General features: G+C 36.5%; 1 protein-coding gene across 11 annotated transcripts in view, besides 1 other annotated feature; it reads right to left on the reverse strand.

The window, feature by feature from the left end:
• The window catches only part of TAF1A (TATA-box binding protein associated factor, RNA polymerase I subunit A), a 35,829-nt gene that overhangs the window by 12,600 nt on the left and 698 nt on the right, over positions 1-22,531 (reverse strand). For 4 of the 11 annotated variants that reach the window (XR_007064851.1, NM_001201536.1, NM_005681.4 and 1 more), the window contains exons 2-7: positions 21,739-21,861; positions 17,424-17,593; positions 13,055-13,168; positions 10,741-10,939; positions 3,831-3,961; positions 2,806-2,964 (exon numbers count right to left, since the gene is read on the reverse strand). Coding sequence is in view for 9 of the 11 variants with exons in the window: in NM_001201536.1 (NP_001188465.1) it covers positions 2,806-2,964; positions 3,831-3,961; positions 10,741-10,939; positions 13,055-13,168; positions 17,424-17,593; positions 21,739-21,859 (894 nt within the window). In the remaining 2 variants the exon portion in view is untranslated. Of the gene's footprint in view, positions 1-720; positions 2,721-2,805; positions 2,965-3,830; positions 3,962-10,740; positions 10,940-13,054; positions 13,187-17,423; positions 17,594-21,738; positions 21,862-22,531 lie in introns of those variants that run through there. The other 7 variants (XR_007064852.1, XM_006711612.2, XM_005273343.5 and 4 more) reach the window with 6 other exon arrangements.
• Positions 15,642-15,781: an enhancer, noted in NCBI's record as "active region_2576". NCBI's record gives its function as "activates an Ori minimal core promoter by ATAC-STARR-seq in GM12878 lymphoblastoid cells {active_cell/tissue: GM12878}" and the evidence as "EXISTENCE:reporter gene assay evidence [ECO:0000049][PMID:35858748]".

Raw genomic sequence — 22,531 nt, forward strand, 5'->3', positions numbered from 1 at the left:
TTTCTGCTGTGTGGCCTGGTTCCTAACAGGTCACAAACAGATACCGGTCCATGACCCAGGGGTTGGGGATCCCTGCACTAGGATATCAATGATCAAAAAAGGGGATGGAGAATAGAAGCTGTTAGCCAGGATGTGGAATTGTTGGTAGGAATGTAAAATAGTGTAGTTGCTGTAGAAAACAGTTTGACAATTCCTCAAAAAGTTAAAAGAATTACCATATAATCCAGCAATTTCACTCCTGAGTATACACCCAAAAGAAGTGAAAGCAGCGAACTCCAACAAATACCTGTACACTAATCTTTAGAGCAGCATTACTTATAATAGCCAAACAACAAACACAACCCAAATGTCTACCAAGAAATGGATAAGCAAAATGTTGTAGGTACATAAAATGGAATATTATTCAGCCTTAAATAAAAATGGCCGTTCTGATATATGCTACAACATGGATGAACCTTGAAAACATTATGCTAAGTGAAATTAGCAAGACACAAAAGGACAAATGTTATATGATTCCACTTATATGAGGTACCTAGAATAATCAAATTCACGAAGATGGAAATTAGCACAGAGGTTTTCAGGGGCTGGGAGGAGCAGGCAATGAGGAGTTATTGTTTAATGAATAGTTTCTACTTCGGATAACGAAAACATTCTGGAAATAGACAGTGATGGTGGTTGCACAAAACTGTGAATGAATGTACTTAATGCCACTAAATTATATGCTTTAAAAATGATCAAAATGGTAACATTTATTTTTGTATATATTTTCCCACAATTTAAAATGTTAAGCAATATTATATACAACAACCCCATGAAACACTTAGGGACAAATTTAACAAAATACATACACTAAAAACTACAAAACAGTTCAGAGAGAAATTAAAAACCTAAATAAATGGAGAGACATGCCATGTTTACACTTTGGAAACCTCAATACAGTTGAGATGTCAATTCTCTCAAACTGATCTATAGATTCAAAATCTCAGCAAGACCTTTTTGTAGCAACAGGTAAGTTGATTATACAATATACATGGAAAGTTAAAGAACCTAGAAAAGCCAAAAGCAATTTTGAAAAAGAACAAATTTGTATGACTTTCATGATATGATTCCAAGACTTGCTACAAAGCTACAGTAACCATATTAAGGCCACATGAGATATTACTACACACCCACTAGAATGGCAATAACTCACATTTAGAAGACCTACAATATGAAGTATTGGCAAGGATGTGGAGAAACTGAATTTTCATCTATTGAGGTGGAAATATACATCACTAGAACACAACAGACTTCATATACAGCCTACTGGTTTTCAACAAAGTTCCAAATGTACTAAATGGAGAAAGGAGAGTCTTCAATATAATGCTGGAACAACCACATGGGAAAAAATGAACCTTGACCTTTGCCACACACTACCCACAAAAAAATAGCTAAAAATCTACCATGACCTAAACATAAAACTATACAACACATCTAGAAAAAAAAAAAAAAAAGAACTCTTCATTATCTTGAGATAGGCAAATATTTCTTAGACAAAAAGCACTAACCATAAAAGAAAAAAAAATGTACAAACTGAACATCAAAACTAGAAGTTTCTACTCTTTGAAAGATACTATTAAGGAAACCAAAAGGCAAGGCACAGTCAGAGAGAAAATATTCATAATTAATATTCTTCACAAAGGACTTATATCCAGATTATATAAAAATTTCCAAATCAGTAAGAAGACAATTGATCCCCCCAAAAATAGACTAAGTAGTTGGACACATGACAAAAGAAGATACAGGATGGCCAATAGACATACTAAAAGATGCTCAACATCACTAGTCATTAGGGAAATACAATTTAATGCCACATGGGACACCCACAAGAGGCTATTATTCAAAAGACCTCCAATACCAAGTGTTGGCACAGATGTGGAGAAACTGAATTTTCATATTGCTGTGTGAATGTCGATGGTACAGTCACTTCAAAAAACAGCTGGGCAGTTTCTTAGGAAGTTAAGCATATACTTTCCTTACTACTCTTAGGCAGCAACTCCTCTCTCAGGTAGCTACCCAAGAAACATGAAAATATATGTGTATACAGAATCTTGTACATGAATGTTCTCAGCAGCATCATTCACAATAGCCAAAAAGTAAAAATTACCCAAATGTCCATCAAGAAGTGAATGTATAAAAATGAAATACTATTCAGCAGTAATAAGGAAATTACTAATATACACAATAACATGGGTGAATCTCAAATATGTTACGCTGAGCAAGAGAAGCCAGATTAAAATGACTACATAAGAGTCCATTTACATGAAATTCTAGAAGAGATAAAAATTAATCTATAGTGACAATAAGCAGATCAGTGATTGTCTGGGGCCATGGTTGTGGGGACAGACAGGCTGCAAAGGGAAATGAAAGGCATTCTGGGGGCGACAGAAATGTTCTATATCATGATTACCATGGTGGTTCATGAATGTAACGCATCCAAGCACATACTTAAAATAAGTGTGTTTACTCTCTGAAAACTAAATTTCAATAAAGTTGATTTTCAAAAAATATCAGTGCAGAGTATTCCAACCAGGGTTGCACAAGACTTCTGATCCTCTCTCCTCAGTCTCATCCGGGCAGCAGGGGATAGTGTGGATGATACATACATGGAGATGGCAGCTGGAGCCAACTTTCTCTGTTTATCTCAGTGTACTGTACATTATTGAAATTTTCTGTAGATGCTATAAAAGTTAGAAAGCAATGGCCTAAGAATGTTTTAATGTAGATTCCCAACCCTGGTCAAACATCGAGATAAAAATTCTATACCTTAAGCACACTTATCAATTTTGATCTTGGTGCCTTCTGTCTCTTTAGAAAGTTGTATAAGTAGATATGGGCATTTGGATTTGATGGAAACTTTTCATCATATGCATAATTGGTGAGTACCTCTTGGGCTCCATCTCGATCCCCATAGAATTCCAGCATCTATATAAAATAAATCATAATATCTTAGCTGAATTCTGTAAGACAGCTATACGAAAAATAATACACAGCATAAGTTTACTGATGGGTATTTTTTAAAAATCACAAAACTGACAGGGTTCCCATTTTTTCCCTGTATTTTGTTACTACTAATAAACAATGCAGCAACCTCAACATAAATTCTCTTCCTATAAAAAATAAGAGTCCTCAAAGCAGGGAACACTAATGCTCGAAAATGTGATGCAGCTAACCTCAGTGCCCTACATCACTGCAGCCACAAAAGGAGTGCATGAGAATTGTAATTCCTTTCATCCTGTTCCCATCCTTACACAGGAATCTCCAGATTATGATTTTGGAGATTATCTTCTGACAACACAATTATCAACTTGCCACTCATTAACTTTCACAAAGCAAATTATTTTGAAGATTTATTCCTAGTGCCTAGCACCAAGGCCCTCAGTCCTTTTACAATGACTCTGGGATGACAGGACATTCTTATGAACTTCCAAAAAGCCATCATTCTTCACCTCATATAGTATGACCCATTTTTTCAGATTTTTGTCCTCTTTCCTTCTATATCCCACCAAATCATAAGGTATCTTACTGCATTTCTTTTAAGCTCAACAAGAATAAGATTGAATTAACATTTACAACTATACTGCTATTTATTTTATAGATACTTGGCCACGACGGGTTATACAGTGGTGAAAATAAACAAATTCAGACCAAAAAAGAGACACCGTATTTTTGCTTTCTTTTAAATAATTTTTTCCATTAGTTTCTTTCTGATCAATAAAGATTAGGCATGCAGTCTTTGTATAGGCTTTTGACAAAATAAAACCAATAAATTTAATGAAAATTCTACTTACTTCTACATAACTCTTCACAAAAGGGTCCCAAACTCCAGGAATTTTAATCAATGCAGAAATATTTGCAGATGTCTTCCAGCTGTGGTTGAACACATCCTGGGCTACTGCATTGTAAGCATAATCATCCTTATCTGCCCAAAGATACAAGATCTTTTAACATTCATTAAACATTGAGGACCTCTGTTAAATTAGTAATTTAAAAAACTATCTGCGAGAAAAACTCAGTTGCTGATAGCTACAACAGTAAATTCCAACAAATATTTAAAGGAAAATACTAATTCTTCACAAATTCTCCCAAAAAAAGGACAGAAAAGAATACTTCCTAACTTATTCTAAGCCAGTATTACCATGATACCAAAACCAAAGACAACACAATAAAACTACAGATCAGTATCTCTTAAGAATATAGCTGCAAAAATCTTTAACAAAAATACTAGCAAACTGAGTCCAACAACATATAAAAAGCATTATACATCATGTCCAAGTCGGATCTATACTAGGAATGCAAGGTTGGCTTAACATCTGAAAATCAATTAATGCAAATAATAAAATAGAGATCTATTGATCTAAACCAAATCAAAAGAATACAGGACCAAAACCTCATGATCATCACAATAGACACAGAAAAAGCATCTGAAAAAACACAATAACCCTTCATGATAAAAAGACTCAACAATGTAGGAACAGAAGGAACTTCCTCAATCTGATAAAGGGCATCTATGAAAAACTCATAGCTAACATTGAACTGAATGATAAAAGACTGCATGCTTTCCCCCTAAAATCAGTAATAAGACAAAAATGTCTTTTCTCACTACTTTTGTTCATTATATTGGTGGTTCCAGCCAGGACAATTAAGCAAGAACATAACAAAAAGATATCCAAGATTGGAAAGGAAGAAGTAAAACTATCTCTATTTGCAGATGACATGGTCTTGTACACAGAAAAATCCTAAGAACCCACTAAAAATTTACTGAACTAATAAATGAGTTCACAAAGGTTGCAGAGTACAAGATCAATACACAATAATCAACTGTATGTCTATACACTTGCAATGAACAAGCAGAAGATAAAATTAGGAAAACAATGCCATTTGCAAAAGCATCAAAAGTAACAAAATGGGTAGAAATTTTACAAAAGAGATGCAAAATTTTACTCTGAAAAGTGATACTGTTGAAAAAAAATTTTTTAAGACCTAAATGAATGAAAAGACACTCTGTGTTCAGTTGAAAGACTTACTATTGTCAAATTGATCTACAGATACATGTAATTCCTATCAAAAACTCGGCCTTTTTGCATAAGTTGACAGGCTGATTCTATAATTCATACGAAAATGCAAGGGACCAAAGAAGAACAAAGAATCTTTAAAAAGGACAAAGTTGGATAATGTACTCTATGACTATGGCCAGGCATGGTGGCTCACACCTATAATCCCAGCACTTTGGGAGGCCGATGTGGGTGGATCACCTGAGGTCAGGAGTTCGAGACCAGCCTGACCAACAAGGTGAAACCCCGTCTCTACTAAAAGTACGAAAAAATTAGCTGGGCGTGGTGGCACACGCCTGTAGTCCCAGCTACTCAGGAGGCTGAGGCACAGGAATCGCTTGAACCTGGAAGACACAGATTGCAGTGAGCTGAGATCCTGCCACTATACTCCAGCATGGGCAACACAGCAAGACTCAGTCTCAAAAAAAAAAAAAAAAAAAGTACTACAAAGCTGTAGTAATCAAGACTGTGTGATATGGGCAGAAAGAGAGACACATGTAGATCAATGGAAGATTTAGAGTCCAGAAGTAAACCTCTACATTTATAGGTAACTAATTTTCTTTTGTGTGTGTGTAAGACAGGGCCTTACTTTGTCTCCCAGGCTGGACTGCAGTGGCATGATTTCAGCTTACTGAAGCCTCACTCTACCTCCTGGGCTCAAGTGAACCTCTCACCTCAGCCACTCAAGTAGCCAGGACTACAGGCACACGCTACCACACTCAGCTAATTTTTGTATTTTTTGTAGAGATGCAGTTTCACCATGTTGCCCAGGTTGGTTTCGAACTCCTGAGGGCTCATGCGATCTACCTGTCTTGGCCTCCCAAAGTGCTAGGATTACAGGCATGGCCACTGCTCCCGGCTGCTAACTAATTTTCAGTAAGGGTGCCAAGACAATTCAGTGGGAAAATAATAGACTTTTCAATAAATGCTACAACTGGATATCCACATACAAAATAATAAAGTTGGGCCCCTACCTACTTCATAAAAATTAACTCAAAGGCCAAAATATAAGAGCTAAAACTTTAAAACTCTCAGAAGAAGTGAAAATCTTTGCGACCTTGCAGTAGGCAACAGCTTCTTAGATGTGATACCAAAACCACAAGCAACAAAAGAAGAAACAGTTAAATTAAACCTCATCAAATGAAACACTTTTATGCTTCAAAGGACACCATCAAGATAGTGAAAAGAAGGCCAGGCACAGTGGCTCACATCTGTAATTCCAACACTTTGGGAGGCTGAGGTGGGCAGATCACTTGAGGTCAGGAGTTCGAGACCAGCCTGGCCAACATGGTGAAACCCCATTTCTACTAAAAACACAAAAATTAGCTGGGCGTGGTGGCAGGCACCTCTAATCCCACCTACTCGGGAGGCTGAGGCAGGAGAATCACTTGAACCTGGGAGCCAGAGGTTGCAGTGAGCTGAGATTGCGCCACTTGCACTCCTGCCTCGGTGACAGAGTGAGACTCCGTCTCAAAAAATAATAATAGTAAAATAAAATAAAAAGATAGTGAAAACACACAGAAAAGGTGAAAATATTTCCAAGTCATGAATCTGATATATCTGATAAGAGAATTCTGTCTAGAACAACTAAGTACTCTTACAAAACTCAATAATCTAAAAGCAGGTAATTAAAATATGAGCAAAAGATCTGAATGAAAATTTCTCCAAAAATGATATACAAATGGCCCATAAGCACATGAAAAGATGCTCAACATCATTAACACCCAGGAAAATGCAAATCAAAACTACAAGATGCCATTTCACACCCACCAGGATGACTATAATAGAAAAGACAGATAATGGCAAGTGTTGGTGAGGATGTGGAGAAATTTGTACCCTCATACACCGCTACTGGGGATGTAAAATAGTGCAATTGCTTTGGAAAACAGTCCAGTGGTTCTTAAAAAGGATAAACTTAGAGTTATATGACCCAGCAATTTCTCTCTTAGGTATATACCCAAGAGAAATAAAAACACATGTCCATACAAAAACTTGTACATAAATGTTCACAGCAATGTTATTCAAAATAGGCAAAAGTAGAAACAATCTAATTGTTCATCAACTGATGAATGGATACCTAAGATATAGTATATACAAACAATGGAATTCTATTCAGTAATAGAAATGAAGTACCATTACATGCTATAACATTAAAAACATTATGCTTTCTTTGTCAAAATTTTCTGTTAGGGAAAAAAAAAATTATGCTAAGTAAAAGAAGACCACATACTGTATGATTCCATTTGTATGAAATGTCCAGAACAGGCAAATCTCTAGAGGCAGAAAGCAGATTAGTGGTTGCCTAGGACTGGAGGGGTGGGGAGAAATGGGAGAGCACAGGGTTTCTTTTTAGGGTCATGAAAATATTCTAATATTGTACTGATGGTTACAACTCTATGAATATACTAAAAACCACTGAGTTGTATATTTTAAGTGGGTGAATTTGTATGGTATGTGAATTATATCTTAATTCTCAATAAAGCTATAAAGAAAAAAAACCATGAGAGATCACTACACCCAACAAATTGGCTGATATGAAAACTCTGACAATAACAAATGTTGAGGAGAATACAAACAAAAGAAAACTCTAATCAGATTGTCGGTAAAGTACAAATTGGTAACCTCTTTGGAAAGAGTTTAGTATATTATGTACCAAAGTTAAAGACGCACAAAACATATTCTATGACAATTCTACTCCTAGAAATGCATACTTATGTGCACCGGTATACAGAAATTAATAGGGGTTCATTTCAAAGCAGAATTATTTATAATAGCCCAAAATAGTAACCTAAATGGCCATCAGTAATAGAAGGAATAGTGTGACTATCATAAAATATTTTATAACCATAAAAAATGAATAAATTAGAGCTACATCCAATAACATGTATTATCTTAAAACTGATTTTGAACAAAATATGCAAGGCCTAAAAGAATATATACAGTACAACTCCAAATACAGCATTCAGATATAGGCAAAACTAAATCACATTGTTTACAAATGTATACATGAGTGGAAAGAGTATAAAGAAAAACCAGTGAGTGATTAACATAAGTCAGGACAGGGATTTTCTTGAGAGAGAATGGGAGGAAATGCAGTCAGGAAGGCACACAGGGAGAATTTTAGGTTAGGGTGACAGTATTTTGTGTTTCTTAATCTGGGTGGTGGTTATGTGAATGTCCATTTTAAATTTATTCATTATATCTCACATTTGTTTTATATGCTTTTTCTGTATCTATTTCTCAATCTTAAAGGTTTACAAAGAAAGTTACTCAAGTCTTTCAAAAATAGCTATTAGAAGCACAAGATACTGCAAACCAAACAGAGGCACTGGTATCTTTTTCCCAGTGGATCAGTTAAATACATATCAATATGAACTTAGAAATGAGGTGATAGGAAAGTAGGTAAGACATTATATGGAAAAAAATTTTTTTTAAAAAAAGGGCTGGGCATGGTGGTTCACGCCTGTAATCCTAGCAGTTTGGAAGGCTGAGGCAGGAGGATTGCTTGAGCCCAGGGGTTCAAGACCAGCCTAAGCAACACAGTAAGACCCCATCTTCACAAAAAAAAAAATTGATGGTGCACACCTGTAGTCCCAAGTCCTTGGGAGGCTGAGGTGGGAGGATCACTTGAGCCCAGGAGGTCGAGGCTGCAATGAGCCGTGATCACACCACTGCACTCCAGCCTGACAGCAAGAGACTCCAGACTGAGACAGCAAGACTCTGCCTCAAAGAGAAAGAGACAGATCCCTGAGTATAAATTGGGTTTGAATTTATTATAGAAGGAGGTTCCTAGTCACCAAGTGCATCAATCCCAACCAAGACAGAGCCACATAACAGCAAGAAAGTCCCAAGCTGACTCCAAGTACAAGTTCACATGGTAAGTGCCCATGAGTTTGGTTATAAAGAACTAGTCCTAACTTTTTTTCTCGTTAAATAGACACTTGAGGTGAATGATCATCTAAGAGCTCTACATATTATCCCATCATCATCTATTGTTGCTACAGAACTGTCAGCTACGGAAAGGTACTGAACCATCTATCCACAAGAGTAACATTACAAATGCGATGTTCCAACAGCTTTAATCATCAGATATTTGCTTGAGTTTTACCTAACCATGTATAAGAAGAAAAGTAAATACTGACTTTAAAACTAACCTAATCAATGAGTAAGTTTTGAAAAAGAACTATTACACCAGAAAATATGACAAGACTAACAAAAGAAATAGAGGAATATTACATCAAACATTGATTAGTCTAAACGGGAAGATATCTGGACTAATAAAATACACATGAAAAAACTTAGCACAATTAGAAAGCAAGAGATGAATAGCCAAATGATTCAGGCTGAACATGCAGCTGATATATTAAGTTTAAGGTGTAAGAATGAGGGTTTGGGACAGCGATCCAATGAGTCTTGAAGAATAGAGAGCATTCTAGAAGAGGAGACTCTACAAAGGCCTCACAAGATTATCATGATGAAGAGAGCATTTCAGAGTATCTTGAAAGAAGAGGGAAGGGAATCGAAATTAGTGAAACTACATGCCCAGAGACCAAGGAAATACCACTTATCACATAAGGATAATAAGGAAATACTGCTTACCACATAAGAAGTGATAAATAGTAGGACTAAGATATGGAGGAGGATGAAAACAGAAAGGGGTTAATCATAGAGATTAGGTTAATCTCGAGGATTATCCCCTACGGAGAAACTATACAAGGCAAGCGAATTGCAAAGAATCATACAGTTCCAGTGAATGCAAATCTGGGCATAAATGAAGATGATAACACCATTGAAGGTTAAGAGAAGGGGAATCAGTTTGAGAACTGAATGGTCAACTTCTGGTATAGTCAATAAATCAAGAAAATTGTCCATTATAACCTTTACACAAAAATGAAATGACCATCTTGACCTATTCTTTAAACATATTATTCTGAGAAATAACATTACAAAGTAAATTAAACTCCATTCTAGGCACACAGGAAGAAATGTTTATTATATGTAATAATGACTGCTGAAGAAAATCTGTAGCCTTTCTTAGAAATTGGCAAAGACTTTCTTCTTGACCAAACTCCAGCCAGGCTCCTCTGAGCTCTCTTCTGGACTAGGCCTCAAACTTGGCCAATAAATACTTGAACATAGTTTCTAGAACACTAACATAGTTTCTAACAGCTCAAGGCCACATCCCCAGGATGACCCCAGCCCCTCTTGAAATGTTTGCCTGGGAAAACTCCAGAAGAATTTACTGGTGGTTCTGCCTTCTGCTTTTTAAGCTCCCCACCCCCACCCTTTACAACCCCAAGTCACCTCCATAGAAATTGGAATGGAGTTTAGCTCTTCCTCCTGTCAGTAGTTACTGAATCAAACCTGTCTCCACTGCTGTGTCTGGCTGTGTTTATCCTGGACTAAATCACATTCAAAACAGCAATGAACCTAAAATGATCATGAACTTAATTATGAACCATCTAATTTATGATTGAAGCTTTTTATATATCAGAAATATTATAAAGGATCAAGAATTTTAAATCCATAAAAAGTCTGTTCTCCATAATATCTGGATGAAGTCAATAGGGAAATTACTAGATTACTCCTTAAGATCCCTCTGCCCCTCAGTCTCATCATAAGAAAAAGTTTACCTGTATTCACTTACCAAGCTTTGACAATTCCATCTTCTTTTCAGACCAGGTATAATACTGTAAAAGCCCTTTATAGGCCTGAATAAGGTTGATTAATATTTCCCGGGAAGACGTATTTTCACCATGTCTCCATGTCTCTGCCTCACTCAGATTTCTCTTAGCATCTTTAAGCATTCCATGATGCAGAAGGTATAATGCATGTTGTAAGGAGATCTGCAAAAATAATAAGGGTACACCGCCATTTAAGCCATTAGATAACCATTAGTCAAAAAGCTCAGTAAATATATAATACATGCTGGGCAAAGACCTTGGTAGGATACAAATAACTTGACATGGAAAATTTTGATGTTGGGTACAATCTGGCAAAGAAGTAAGACATAGGAAACAATTAACACTATGTAAATATGAGCTAAATTATGTAAACTTACAAACAAAAGACAGTGTGATATAGTGGGGAAAAAAGAGGTTTTGAAGATGAGTGTCTTGGTTCATACACCACTTAAAAACTAAATAAACCTGGGTAAATTATTCACTCTTTGTGAGTCTCATTTGTTTTACGGAACATTACTGCCCCTTCAGAAGGGTGTTTTCAAGATTAAATGAGATAATACTTGCAAATCACCTAATAGTTTGGCTCATAGCAGACATTCAACAAATATTACTATTTTATACATGTTATATAAGCTTAGAGAAAATATCTTAATAAGGGATGCTGAAGAATGGCTTCAGTTCAGATGGAGAGGAAAGTGTATCCCTGATACAGGAGAAGCAGGAAGAAAAATTATACAAAGAATGAGTATTACAAAAAGGGAAGACATTAAAGAGGAGAATAATGAGAACTACAATTAATCATATGGGTAGAGCCAAAGTACTGCAATAAGTTGTCAACTGGCCTCTCCATTCCTGCCTCCCTACAATCCATCTTTCAAGTGGCTACCAAAGAAATTTCATCTTGTTAGTCATTTGCATAAACTCCTTCAATGGCTCCCACTGACTACAGAATTAAAATCCAAGTTCCCTGGGTATGGCACACAGGGCCCAGCCTACTTCCCCCAACTTCTACCCAAGTGATTTTTAGAGTAACTAAATTATTGGATGTAGGGCTTTTAAACTCTTTATAACCCCCGCCATGCAGGGCTGCCCTTTCCCCTAATCTGCCTAGTGAATGGCCAATTGCTTTTGCAAACTTATCTCAAGTATCACTTTCATTCTTTTCCTGATTCCCCTACCCATTAAATCCCAACCCTCTCTAGTTCCAGAGAACTGGCCATTTTCTCCTTTATCTTCTCACCATTTGTTACATTTCTACTATGGTACCCATAACACTTCATTCCATTTACATGATCTTCCTCTACTATAAGAACCATGTCTAGCATATTGCCTGGTAAGCGGCAATAAGTGTTTTTAAAATTATTAACAACAAAAAAAATTGTATTATCTATCCTAATTATCACTCTCAGACTCTTATTGAGAAATGAGGTTCCCTTTCAGTTTCTTTACTTCAACTGAGTAGATTCTATGAGCCAAAAGGGACCTAACCAACAGTTTACTCTTCACACTCCCTCCCTAATTAAATGGCTATCCAGTTTAGACCTGAAAAAAGAGACGCAGAGCACACATCAGGGTAGGCCATTCCCATTTCCAATTGTTTAGTTAGAAAGCTTTTTCTTAAGTAGAACCGTAAACTGCCCCCATTTAATTTCCACTCACAGTATACCTGGTCTACCAGAGAACAAAATCGTAAGAGCATCTGGCACACAAATAGACACTCAAAACATTTTTTTAAAGCAAAGCATTTACAAACCTGTATTGAAAAAGTGCTCTTTGAGACAAAAACATAGAGAGGGAGATACAATATTTTGAAAATGTCTCAATCTTTTTGGATAAGACTTTTACAAAAGGATATATGAACTTGGAGGTGAAGATTCCACCTAAACATTAGAAGTATTAAAATATTTTCACGTATTTAAATTCCCAACTTGTTTAGCTCTTTCCTTTTCTAAACACCAACTCTAAGCTCAAGTGACTTCAGCAAACATTTTAGAATCTGGCCCATCATCATACCACTGCAATCTCTGAATAACTGGTTTTGGCAGCCAGAAGAAATATACAAAGAAAAGGAATTTTTAGTCAGAGAACACAGGAGGCGCCTGAAAATCAAGAAGTAAATGGTTCTCATAACGCTCTTTTCTTTCAGTTTCTCTTATTTATCCAGAATGTCTTATCCTTGTCCCACATTTTTTAGGTTAACTACCTTATCACTGACACAAGCAATTAGAAAAAAAAAAGAATACTGCAAGTGTAAATTCACAAAGCCCATATTCTCACCTTTAAATAATTCATGACGCCAATATTTTTCATCCGGTTAGCAAAAGTATTGAAACTCTCCATGTTGCTTTTGGGATGATAAAATAGAATTTCACTTCCGAGCTTCCAAATAATCTGTCAAAGCAGAAATTACTGCCAAAATGTAAAATTTTTGCCTTAACCAATTTCTGTCTAAGATATTGTTTTCCTGATTACAACATTAATAACCTGTGATTCCTTTTCCAGAGACCACTACCGTCAACATTTTACTCTACTTTGCCATGTAAAATTAATACTACTTCCTTATGTGATAGAATAGTTTTAACCTTTCAAATTTCTATTAAAATATCAGATAGTATAATAGCATCATTATTAATTTAGTAGTTTAAAGAAAGTAGACAGTTAAGATACATATTTAATATAAAATGTTTAATTGGTATGGAAGGAAGAATATTAAAGTCAGAAAATTTGGGTTCTAATAATATTGGCTTCTTCATTGGTCTCAGCCTCTTCTTCATCATCTGCAAAATGAGGGCAACAAACTACACATTTCCTGAGAGCCCATCAAATTCTACAACTATTGACTACATTTATTCTATATTTAGAATGCCAATTTAAGAATTTTGATTAGCTATGGACAAATCTTAATAAAAAAATATTTTATCCTCAGATCACCAAAACTTTGGCGGCAGAACTTGGAGCTCTTTTTTCATGAGAGCAAATCTCTATTTCGCTAACCTCAATTTAAAGTAATCAATAATACCAACTTCAAAGTAAATTAAACTGAACTGTAAATCAATTATTTCTATGAACATACATATTGGTTATATGTGGATACACACACTATCACTGCTATAGTTATATATGATACACATATTATCATTTGATATAAGGATCCTCATCTTCCCAACTCAGAGATATCAAGATTTCATTTGTAGAATATCACACTGTAGTATTTGGGAGCTTAAAGAAAACCTGGGTCTTGGATCACCTACCACCAGGGATGGGTAAATGCAGGGGGGGAAGAAAAGCAGGAAAAAAAAAAAAAAGAAAACTTTGAGATTATGATAGCTATTCTCACCACCAGTGTACACAGTAATTACATGGGACACCAGTTAAAAATAGGTATTCTGGGCCAGGCGCGGTGGCTCACACCTGTAATCCCAGGATTTTGGGAGGCCGAGGCGGGTGGATCACGAGGTCAGGAGAGTGAGACCATCCTGGCTAACACGGTGAAACCCCGTCTCTACTAAAAATACAAAAAATTAGCCAGGCGTCGTGGCGGGAGGCGGAGCTTGCAGCGAGCCAAGATCGTGCCACTGCACTCCAGCCTGGGTGACAAAGTGAGTGAGACTCCATCTCAAAAAATAAAAAAATACAAATAAAAGATACTCTGACTCAATAGACAGGGGTGGAGTAAAGGAATTTATACTTTGAATGAAAGCCCTAGGTGATCCAAAGAGAGCCAAAGAAGTGCTCAAAAACCACTGATCCAATTCCTTCATTTTACAAAACAAAATCTGGACAACAAGAGGCTGTAACATGTTCAATGTTTTACAGGAGTATGTAACTTAAGTCCATAAATTAAATTTTCAATGAATGGTTAAACTTTTTTTTCAGCTTCTCTTTTTTATTTTTTTTGCTCTAGAAGATAACTAATTGATGCAATGGTGACTGTGTTAGTAAAACCTATGAGACACTCATGTCAAGTTATTTGTGGGTAAACTGTCTTTTACTGAAGAAATTTAGCAGTATATGCCAGGCACTGTTTTAACCCTGCCCTGTGAAATTTACATTCTATGTAGAGAGACAAACAATAACCAAGAAATATAATTAAATTGTCAACTGTTAGAGGAAAAGAATGCAGCAGGACAAGGAGATCAGGAGTGCCATTCAGAAAGTGCAGGTTGCAGTTGGAGTAAGGCAATTGCAATTTTAAATAGTCAAAGTAGGCCTCAATGAAAAGGGGCCTTGAAGGAGGGTAGCTGCAGTGATAGCTGAAGAAAGAGCTTTCCAAGAACTGGTTAAGGCAAAGGCAATCAGTCAGGAATATGCCTGGCCCATTCAAGTAAGAACAAGGAGACCAGTGAGGATGGAAAAGAAAAAACAAGCAGGATAATACAGGTTGAGTATCCCTTATCTGAAATCGTTGGGACCAGAAATGTTTCAGACTTGAAATTGTTTCCGCTTTTTAAATATTTGTATATACATAATGAGACTGGGGATAGGACCAAAGGCTAAACATGAAATTCACTTATGTTTCATATACACCTATACATATAGCCTGAAGGTAATTTTATATAATATTCTTAAAATTTTGTGCATGAAACAAAATTTGTATACATTGAACCATTAGAAAGCAAAGGTGTCACTATCTCATGTCAGTAATGAAAAAGCTTTGAAGCATTCTGGTTTTCACATTTTTGAATTCGGAATGCTCCACCTGTTTCAGGAGATGAAGTCAGAGAGGTCAAACAAGGAAAGGAAGTGAGCACATCACATAGGAATTTATAGGCAATTATGACTTTGGCTTTTACTGAATGAAATGGAAAGCTATTACAGTGTTTTCAGCAGAGGAGTGACATGATCTGATATGTTTTAAAAAGCTCACTCTGAATCATTAGTCATTAGAGAAATGCAAATCATAACCAGGATGATGCCACTTCACAACCACAAGGATGACTATTATCAGTAAGACAGGACAATAACAAAATATTGGCAAGGATTAGAGAAATTAGAAGCCTCAGATATTGCTGGTGAGAATATAAATGGTATGGCCACTTTGGAAAACAGTCTGGCAGTTCCTCAAGAGGCTAAACATAGTGTTACCATATGACCAGCAATTCCACTCCCAGGTGTAGACCCAGGAGAAATTAAAACAAACGTCCACACAAAAACCTGTACACAAATGTTCGCAGAAGCATTATTTCCAATAACCGAAAAGCAAAAACAACCTAAGTGTCTAACAACTGATAAATGGACAAATAAAACATGGTATTTCCATATGACAGATTATTTGGCAATAAAAGTAATGAAGTACTTATACATGCTACAACATGGATAAACCATGAAAACATTATGCCAAGTGAAAGAAATCATTTACAAAAGGCCACATATTGTACAAAACCACTTATATGAAATGTCCAGAATAGAAAATAGATTAGGCTGGCCATAGTGGCTCACGCTTGCAATACCAGCACTTTGGGGAGGCCGAGGTGGACAGATCACTTGAGGCCAGGAGTTCAAGACCTGCCTGGCCAACAGAGTGAAACCCAGTCTCCACTAAAAATACAAAAAACTAGATAGGTGTGGTGGTGCATGCCTGCAATCCCAGCCACCCAAGAGGCTGAGGTACAAGAATCACTTGAACACAGGAGCTGGAGGTTGCAGTGAGCAGAGATCATGCCACTGCACTCCAGCCTGGGCAACAGAGCAAGACTCCGTTTCAAAAGAAAACAAAAAAAGAAAAAGAAAGTAATAGATTAGTGGCTGCCAGTGTCCGGCAGCTGTGAGGAGGAATGGGGAAGGACTGCAAGTGGGTACAGGGTTTTGGTTTCATGGGAGAAAAAAAAGGTTCTAAATTTAGAGTGTGGTAATGGTTGGTTGCACAACTCTGTAAATGTATGAAAATACATTGAATTGTACAATTTAAGTGGGTGATGGCGTATAAAAAACGTCTTGATAAAACGAAAAAAAAAAGGATCACTCTAGTTGGAAAAAGAGAACAACTCTTTCAAGAAGTTTTGCTGAAAGAGAGTAAAACAATGAAGTATAGTCTATGGGGGAAGTTTGGGTCAAGAGATGATTTTAAGATAGAATAGGCTGGGCATGGTGGCTCACACCTGTAATCCCAGCACTTTGGGAGGCCGAGGCAGGCGGATCACGAGGTCAAGAGATTGAGACCGTCCTGGCCAACCTGGTGAAACCCCGTCTCTACCAAAATACAAAAAATTAGCCGGGCGTGGTGGTACATGCCTGTAGTCCCAGCTACTCAGGAGGCTGAGGCAGGGGAATCACTTGAACCCAGGAGGTAAGAGATTGCAGTGAGCCGAGATCGCGCTACTTCACTCCAGCCTGGCGACAGAGCAAGACTCCGTCTCAAAAAAAAAAAAAAAAGATAGAATAACAAAATTTTTACATGATGATGGGAAACATCCATAAAGAGGGGGGAAAAGGAAGAATTATTGGAATGAACATTTTAGTCCCCTTTAAAATAAGAGGTAAAAAGAAGTGTGCAAAAAAGGTCCCAATACAAACTCTCCACTCAAAAGTAGTTTTAGTAGCTTTTAGCAAAATCACTGAGATTCTGTAAAAGCTACTGTAGGTGAAGCTGTAGGCATAAACTTCTGGGAATCTATCATTTCTTCCAGCAAACTCAAATTTTATTTACCTCAGGTGCAGCCTGCCTTTTGTAGCTATCTGAATCTTCCAAGGTCTGAAAATAACTGTACATGTATTCTGCAGCTTGCTGCCATTGGTGCTTCAGCAGAGCTTCTTGGATAAAACTTAAACAAGCACTTGTTGTCTGAGCAAAATCCTTCCTCCTTTTCCCTCCAATGGCTATAAAAACGAAAAAGAAGAGAGTTTTTATCCAAGTGGCTCCAGTTCAACTATTCAAAAAACTTACTTCTGATAAGAAGTTTTAACAAGTAAACAGTAGGCATTACTTGACCCAGCCCATTCCCAGTACCAAAGCCAGCTTCACTTGAAACAAACCCTTCTACATTATATTAATTATTTTTAGCAGATAAAAACATTTCTAATTTGATGTTTTGGGGCTACTAGAGTCACCAGATCCTTTAAATCTGATTCAATCATCCTTTCATCCTTGTACCAAATAATTTGCGGAGAATCTCTCAAACAGGCCCCCAAAAGCACAGTCCCAGGTATTTAGAATGGGTAAAATGTCAGGGTCATTCTAGGCAAACATGGTCTTTATTACCTACCCATGTTCTGCAAACCCCAAGTGGGCTTTTATTTTTTAAGGACCAAATTCCTAGTAACTCAATGATATTATATACAAATGAGATTAAAACAGTTGCAAAAATTAGCATTTATATCTCTAAAGTATTGGCAATCCCAATGTTAAGAACATTTGGGCTTAGATACAGTGCTATTATATGAATGACTAGTTACATTGCTACATCTTCTTATCTTCCCACGTAACTATGAGACCCCTCTAGTCCAGCTGGGTAATTGTACCCCAGTAAGTACACAAAGACCAACAGGTACTTTACAAAGATACTTTTAAAACAATTAACTTGCAGATATTTGATTTCCTTACATACTCTTTCCACAAGTTAATCTCCTAGACAGCTGTGCCTACATAGTCAAAGCTTCACAATCAAAATCATTACACACTATCTGAAGGTGAAAACACAGGTGTTGAAAAAGTAAATAACTCTAACATCTCCTTTTGCAAGTTAGGCAATTCCCAATTCTTTGCTCATCAAAACTGCAGAACAACGTAATTTTTTACAATAAATCATTATGCAATTTTTCATCAATAATTTAGAAAAAATTCACAGACCTGATACACGGCTATAATTAAACTCCATTCACTGCCATCTACTTACTTATGTGACTAAGGTTTCTCAGAATTTATGTCAATTAAAAAAAATAGCAGAATCAATGCTAAATGTTTTCTCATTCTAGAAATACATAAAAGTCACCCACAAATACATAAAAAATTGGGGAAAAGTTTTAGATAACTTTATTAAAAAAAAAAAAAAAAGAGTCTTGCTCTGTCACCCAGGCTGGACCGCACTAGCACAATCACAGCTCACCATAGCCTAGACCTCCTGGGTTCAAGTGATCCTTCCTTTTGGCCTCCCAAAGTGCTGGGATTATGAGCATGAGCCACCACACCTGGCCAACAACACGTTTAATACACGTTATATTGATCAGCTGTGTACAACTATTAATGATAGCAATGTCTCAACCTAGAAAAAGTTTTAATTCTTAAAACTTACAGGATATAAACAAAAAAAGTATAAATATTGATACATACTTTTATTGCAAGAAGTACAACAAAGAGGAACATAAAATGTCCATCTATTAAAAGCTTGTTCATAATTTTTTTTAAAATGAATAACGCAAGGTATTAAAACCCTATGCCATTCCTGTGCTATTTGGACTCCATCACATATAAAGTAATATATAGTCATTTAAAAATACCAACATGCTGGAAATTTTATCTCTTGCAAATATTAAACATACAATAAAATTTTTTCAGATGATTCCTTAAAACTATGCAAGGTAGTACTCAATTTTTCAGAAAAAACTAGGGGATACAAAAGTGAAAAGTTTGAAGACTACTGTGCTAGACTAGTGTTCTCAGACTTTTGAATGTACATACAAATCACCTGGGGACCTGCCCTTGCTACTCAATGTGGTCCTGGCATGCAGCAGAAGTATCACCTGGAATCTCATTACAACTACAGAGTACTATGCCCAGCTCTCTCAATCAGAAGCTGCATTTTATAAGATCTACACCAAAGCTGCTCGGCATCAGTGGCAATACCTGCCAGCTAGCCTAGGAAACTGACAAAACACCTCGTCCTTAAAACATCCCTTATTTACCTAAAGGAGAGAACTGTTCTCAGGCTAAGCTCCCTTCTATCGCTCAAGCTTTCACAACTGAGATTATAAATTGACTTTAGATAACTATACCTAAATGTTTGGAAAATACTTTTGTCTTCCAACCTAGCCTAGCTACCTCAGGAAAAGTTCTCCTCTCATTTCATTCTTTAATGAGCAAAAGATAGTCTTACTTGATCCTGATGACTTTAAGAAAAAAAAATTGTCAAGGAAAACACATTTTTACATGGAATAGAGATGTACAATAAAGAACTAGTGTCATCAACCTAACTTCTAATATGCTACTCAAAGAATCTGGAAACTTATCAATCTGTCAACAAGTATTTTTTGGGCACCACTGTGTCCCAAGCACTATCGCAGGTACTCATCATACAGCTTCAATCCAGACTGGCCCTGTCTTCAAAGTTTTTATTCTAAGGGGGTTGCTGGGCATGCCCTTCAAAAAGCCAAAAGATATCTACCAGCATAAAAAATAAATAGAACAATTGTTAGGCAATTTTGTTTTCCTATTATGGTTAATTACCAGCACAATGTCAATATTAATTGCAAGTATTTTCTCATTGCAGACCAAAAGTATTTTCGGTTTAACAGGCTATCCATGACATATAAAATATTCCTAAGCATGTAAATTTTGGTCTTTGGTCTTAAACCTATCTGCTTGCAGACTGACTCAGACTTTCTATAGAACACTGGTAACAGAAACATACCCAAGTATGACTTAACTATAGGAAATTTAAATTACTAGTTTGTTCCCTACCAGGGATGCGGTAGCACTACCTCTGAAGTATCATTCATTCAAATCTGCCTTAAGCCATGTGCATTAATCTAGCAAAAATAAAATGAGGAGAGGAAAGGCACTATTATTTTTCAACACTCATTATGCATGAGATACTATGCTAGGTACTTTACATATATTGTCTCATTTTTAAAAATGCATCTCAGTCGTTAAAAGTGTAAGCTTTGAGATCAGACAAACCTGGATTTGACTCCTGATACCACTTAAGAGTTTAATGTCTTTGAGATTCAGTTTCATCCTACCTAAACTGCCTAGCATAAAAATTTATTGAGAATTTACTGAGATCATTAAATGGGATGATACTTAGATCAAAAGAAAAAAATGGAAGCGAAATTTTAGGAGCCAAGGAATCTCTGTCAAGGGGAGAAAAGGCTGGGCAAAAAAACACATATTTAAGGGCAGTAAGTAAAATGCTGGTTCAAATGTAATCCCAGGACTATACCACTCAATATGCCAGCATACAGATAATAGCTTCTTTTATTTATACTTATATTAAATATATTCTTATAGGGAATTTATCCCATAGAAAAACATACTTGCATTTATATTAGATAAAAATGGGGGAAATTTTATCCCATAGAAAATCATGCTTGCATTTACATTAGATAAAAATGGGGGAAAATGCTCTTTTATCTAGGCCGGGTGCAGTGGCTCATGCCTGTAATCCCACCACTTTGGGAGGCTGAGGTGGGCAGGTCACTTGAGGTCAAGAGTTCAAGAACAGCCTGCCCAACATGGTGAAACCCTGTCTCTATTAAAAATACAAAAACTAGCCAGGCGTGGTGGCTGGTACCTGTAATCTCAGTTACTCGGGAGGCTGAGTAGAATCACTTGAACCTGGGAGACAGAGGTTGCAGTGAGCCAAGATCTAGCCACTGCACTCCAGCGTGGGCAACAGAGCAAGACTCTGTCTCAAAAAAAAAAAAAATCTATTACACGATCAATTCTATTCGAAATAATTTCAATGCAATTCAACAGCAACTTCTTGAACACTTCCTAGGCATGTTTTCCTCAATGGCAGAGACCATATCTTCACCTATGACTCCCCAATATTTAATCAATGCCAGAGATAAAAGTGCTCAGTAAGTATTACTGGAAAAAATGTGTATCTAGCATAATACAGACTATCTATTATTAATCCAAGGGCAAAGAATTCTAAAAGAAAAAAGATTTCTTTTGGCTTTTAGCCAAAAAACCCTCCACATATTCCTCTTGAAAATTAAACCAGTCTGGTTATTCATTTTGTATCCCTATTGAATCTTACCACCTCCTTAAAGTTAAAATGGCTCAATGTTATTATTTTACTTACCCACAGTTTCTACGTATGTTTGAAGCCAAGGAAAATGCATTCCTGCACCACTGAGCACAGATGTTTCCACTTCTTCATCATCTGTCACAGGCCCTTTTAATTCTTCACTGAAATCACTCATACCTATTACAAGATGAGATATCAGTTACTTTCTGTACATCTTAATCCACAGTCTTCTGAGTTGTACAGAAAAACGGCTATCTTTTTATCTAATAAATATAATTTGATTAGCAAAATGCATTATACCTGTCAGCTCTTTTAAAGTAAAAAATGAATTTAACTATGTCAGCAACAGCCAAAATGAATGATCCATTAAAGACCGAACCACTAATGTTTCAAGTCCATGTAAAGATAAATAAGATACTGCCCCTCTAATTTAAAAAATCTCAAGTCTAGACGAAGAAACAGCAAAACGTATAATAACAAAACAATATGAAAAGTACAGTAAGAATAGAAGTAGCAGCTAATATTTATTAGGCCCTTACTATGCACTAGAAGTATAAATTATCTAATTTAATCCCCACAGCAATCCTGAGGTGGGTACTATTACTTTCTTCCATGTGAAGGTTGAAAAAACTGAGGGGCTTAGTGAAATGATGGAACCTGCCTAACATCACAAAAAATGGTGAGGACGATAGTCTAGGAAATAGAACACCAAACTACTTGGCATGACTAGAATTCGAGGTGCGTGTGGAGGAGGGGTGCGGAAGGTGAGAAACGAACCTAGAAAAATCATCATAAGCCAAGGTGAGTTTAGACTTACTCCTAAAGATGCTCAGGGCCCCTTCCTCAT

The sequence above is a fragment of the Homo sapiens genome, chromosome 1 (assembly GCF_000001405.40).
Source record: "Homo sapiens chromosome 1, GRCh38.p14 Primary Assembly".
Lineage (NCBI taxonomy): Eukaryota > Metazoa > Chordata > Mammalia > Primates > Hominidae > Homo > Homo sapiens.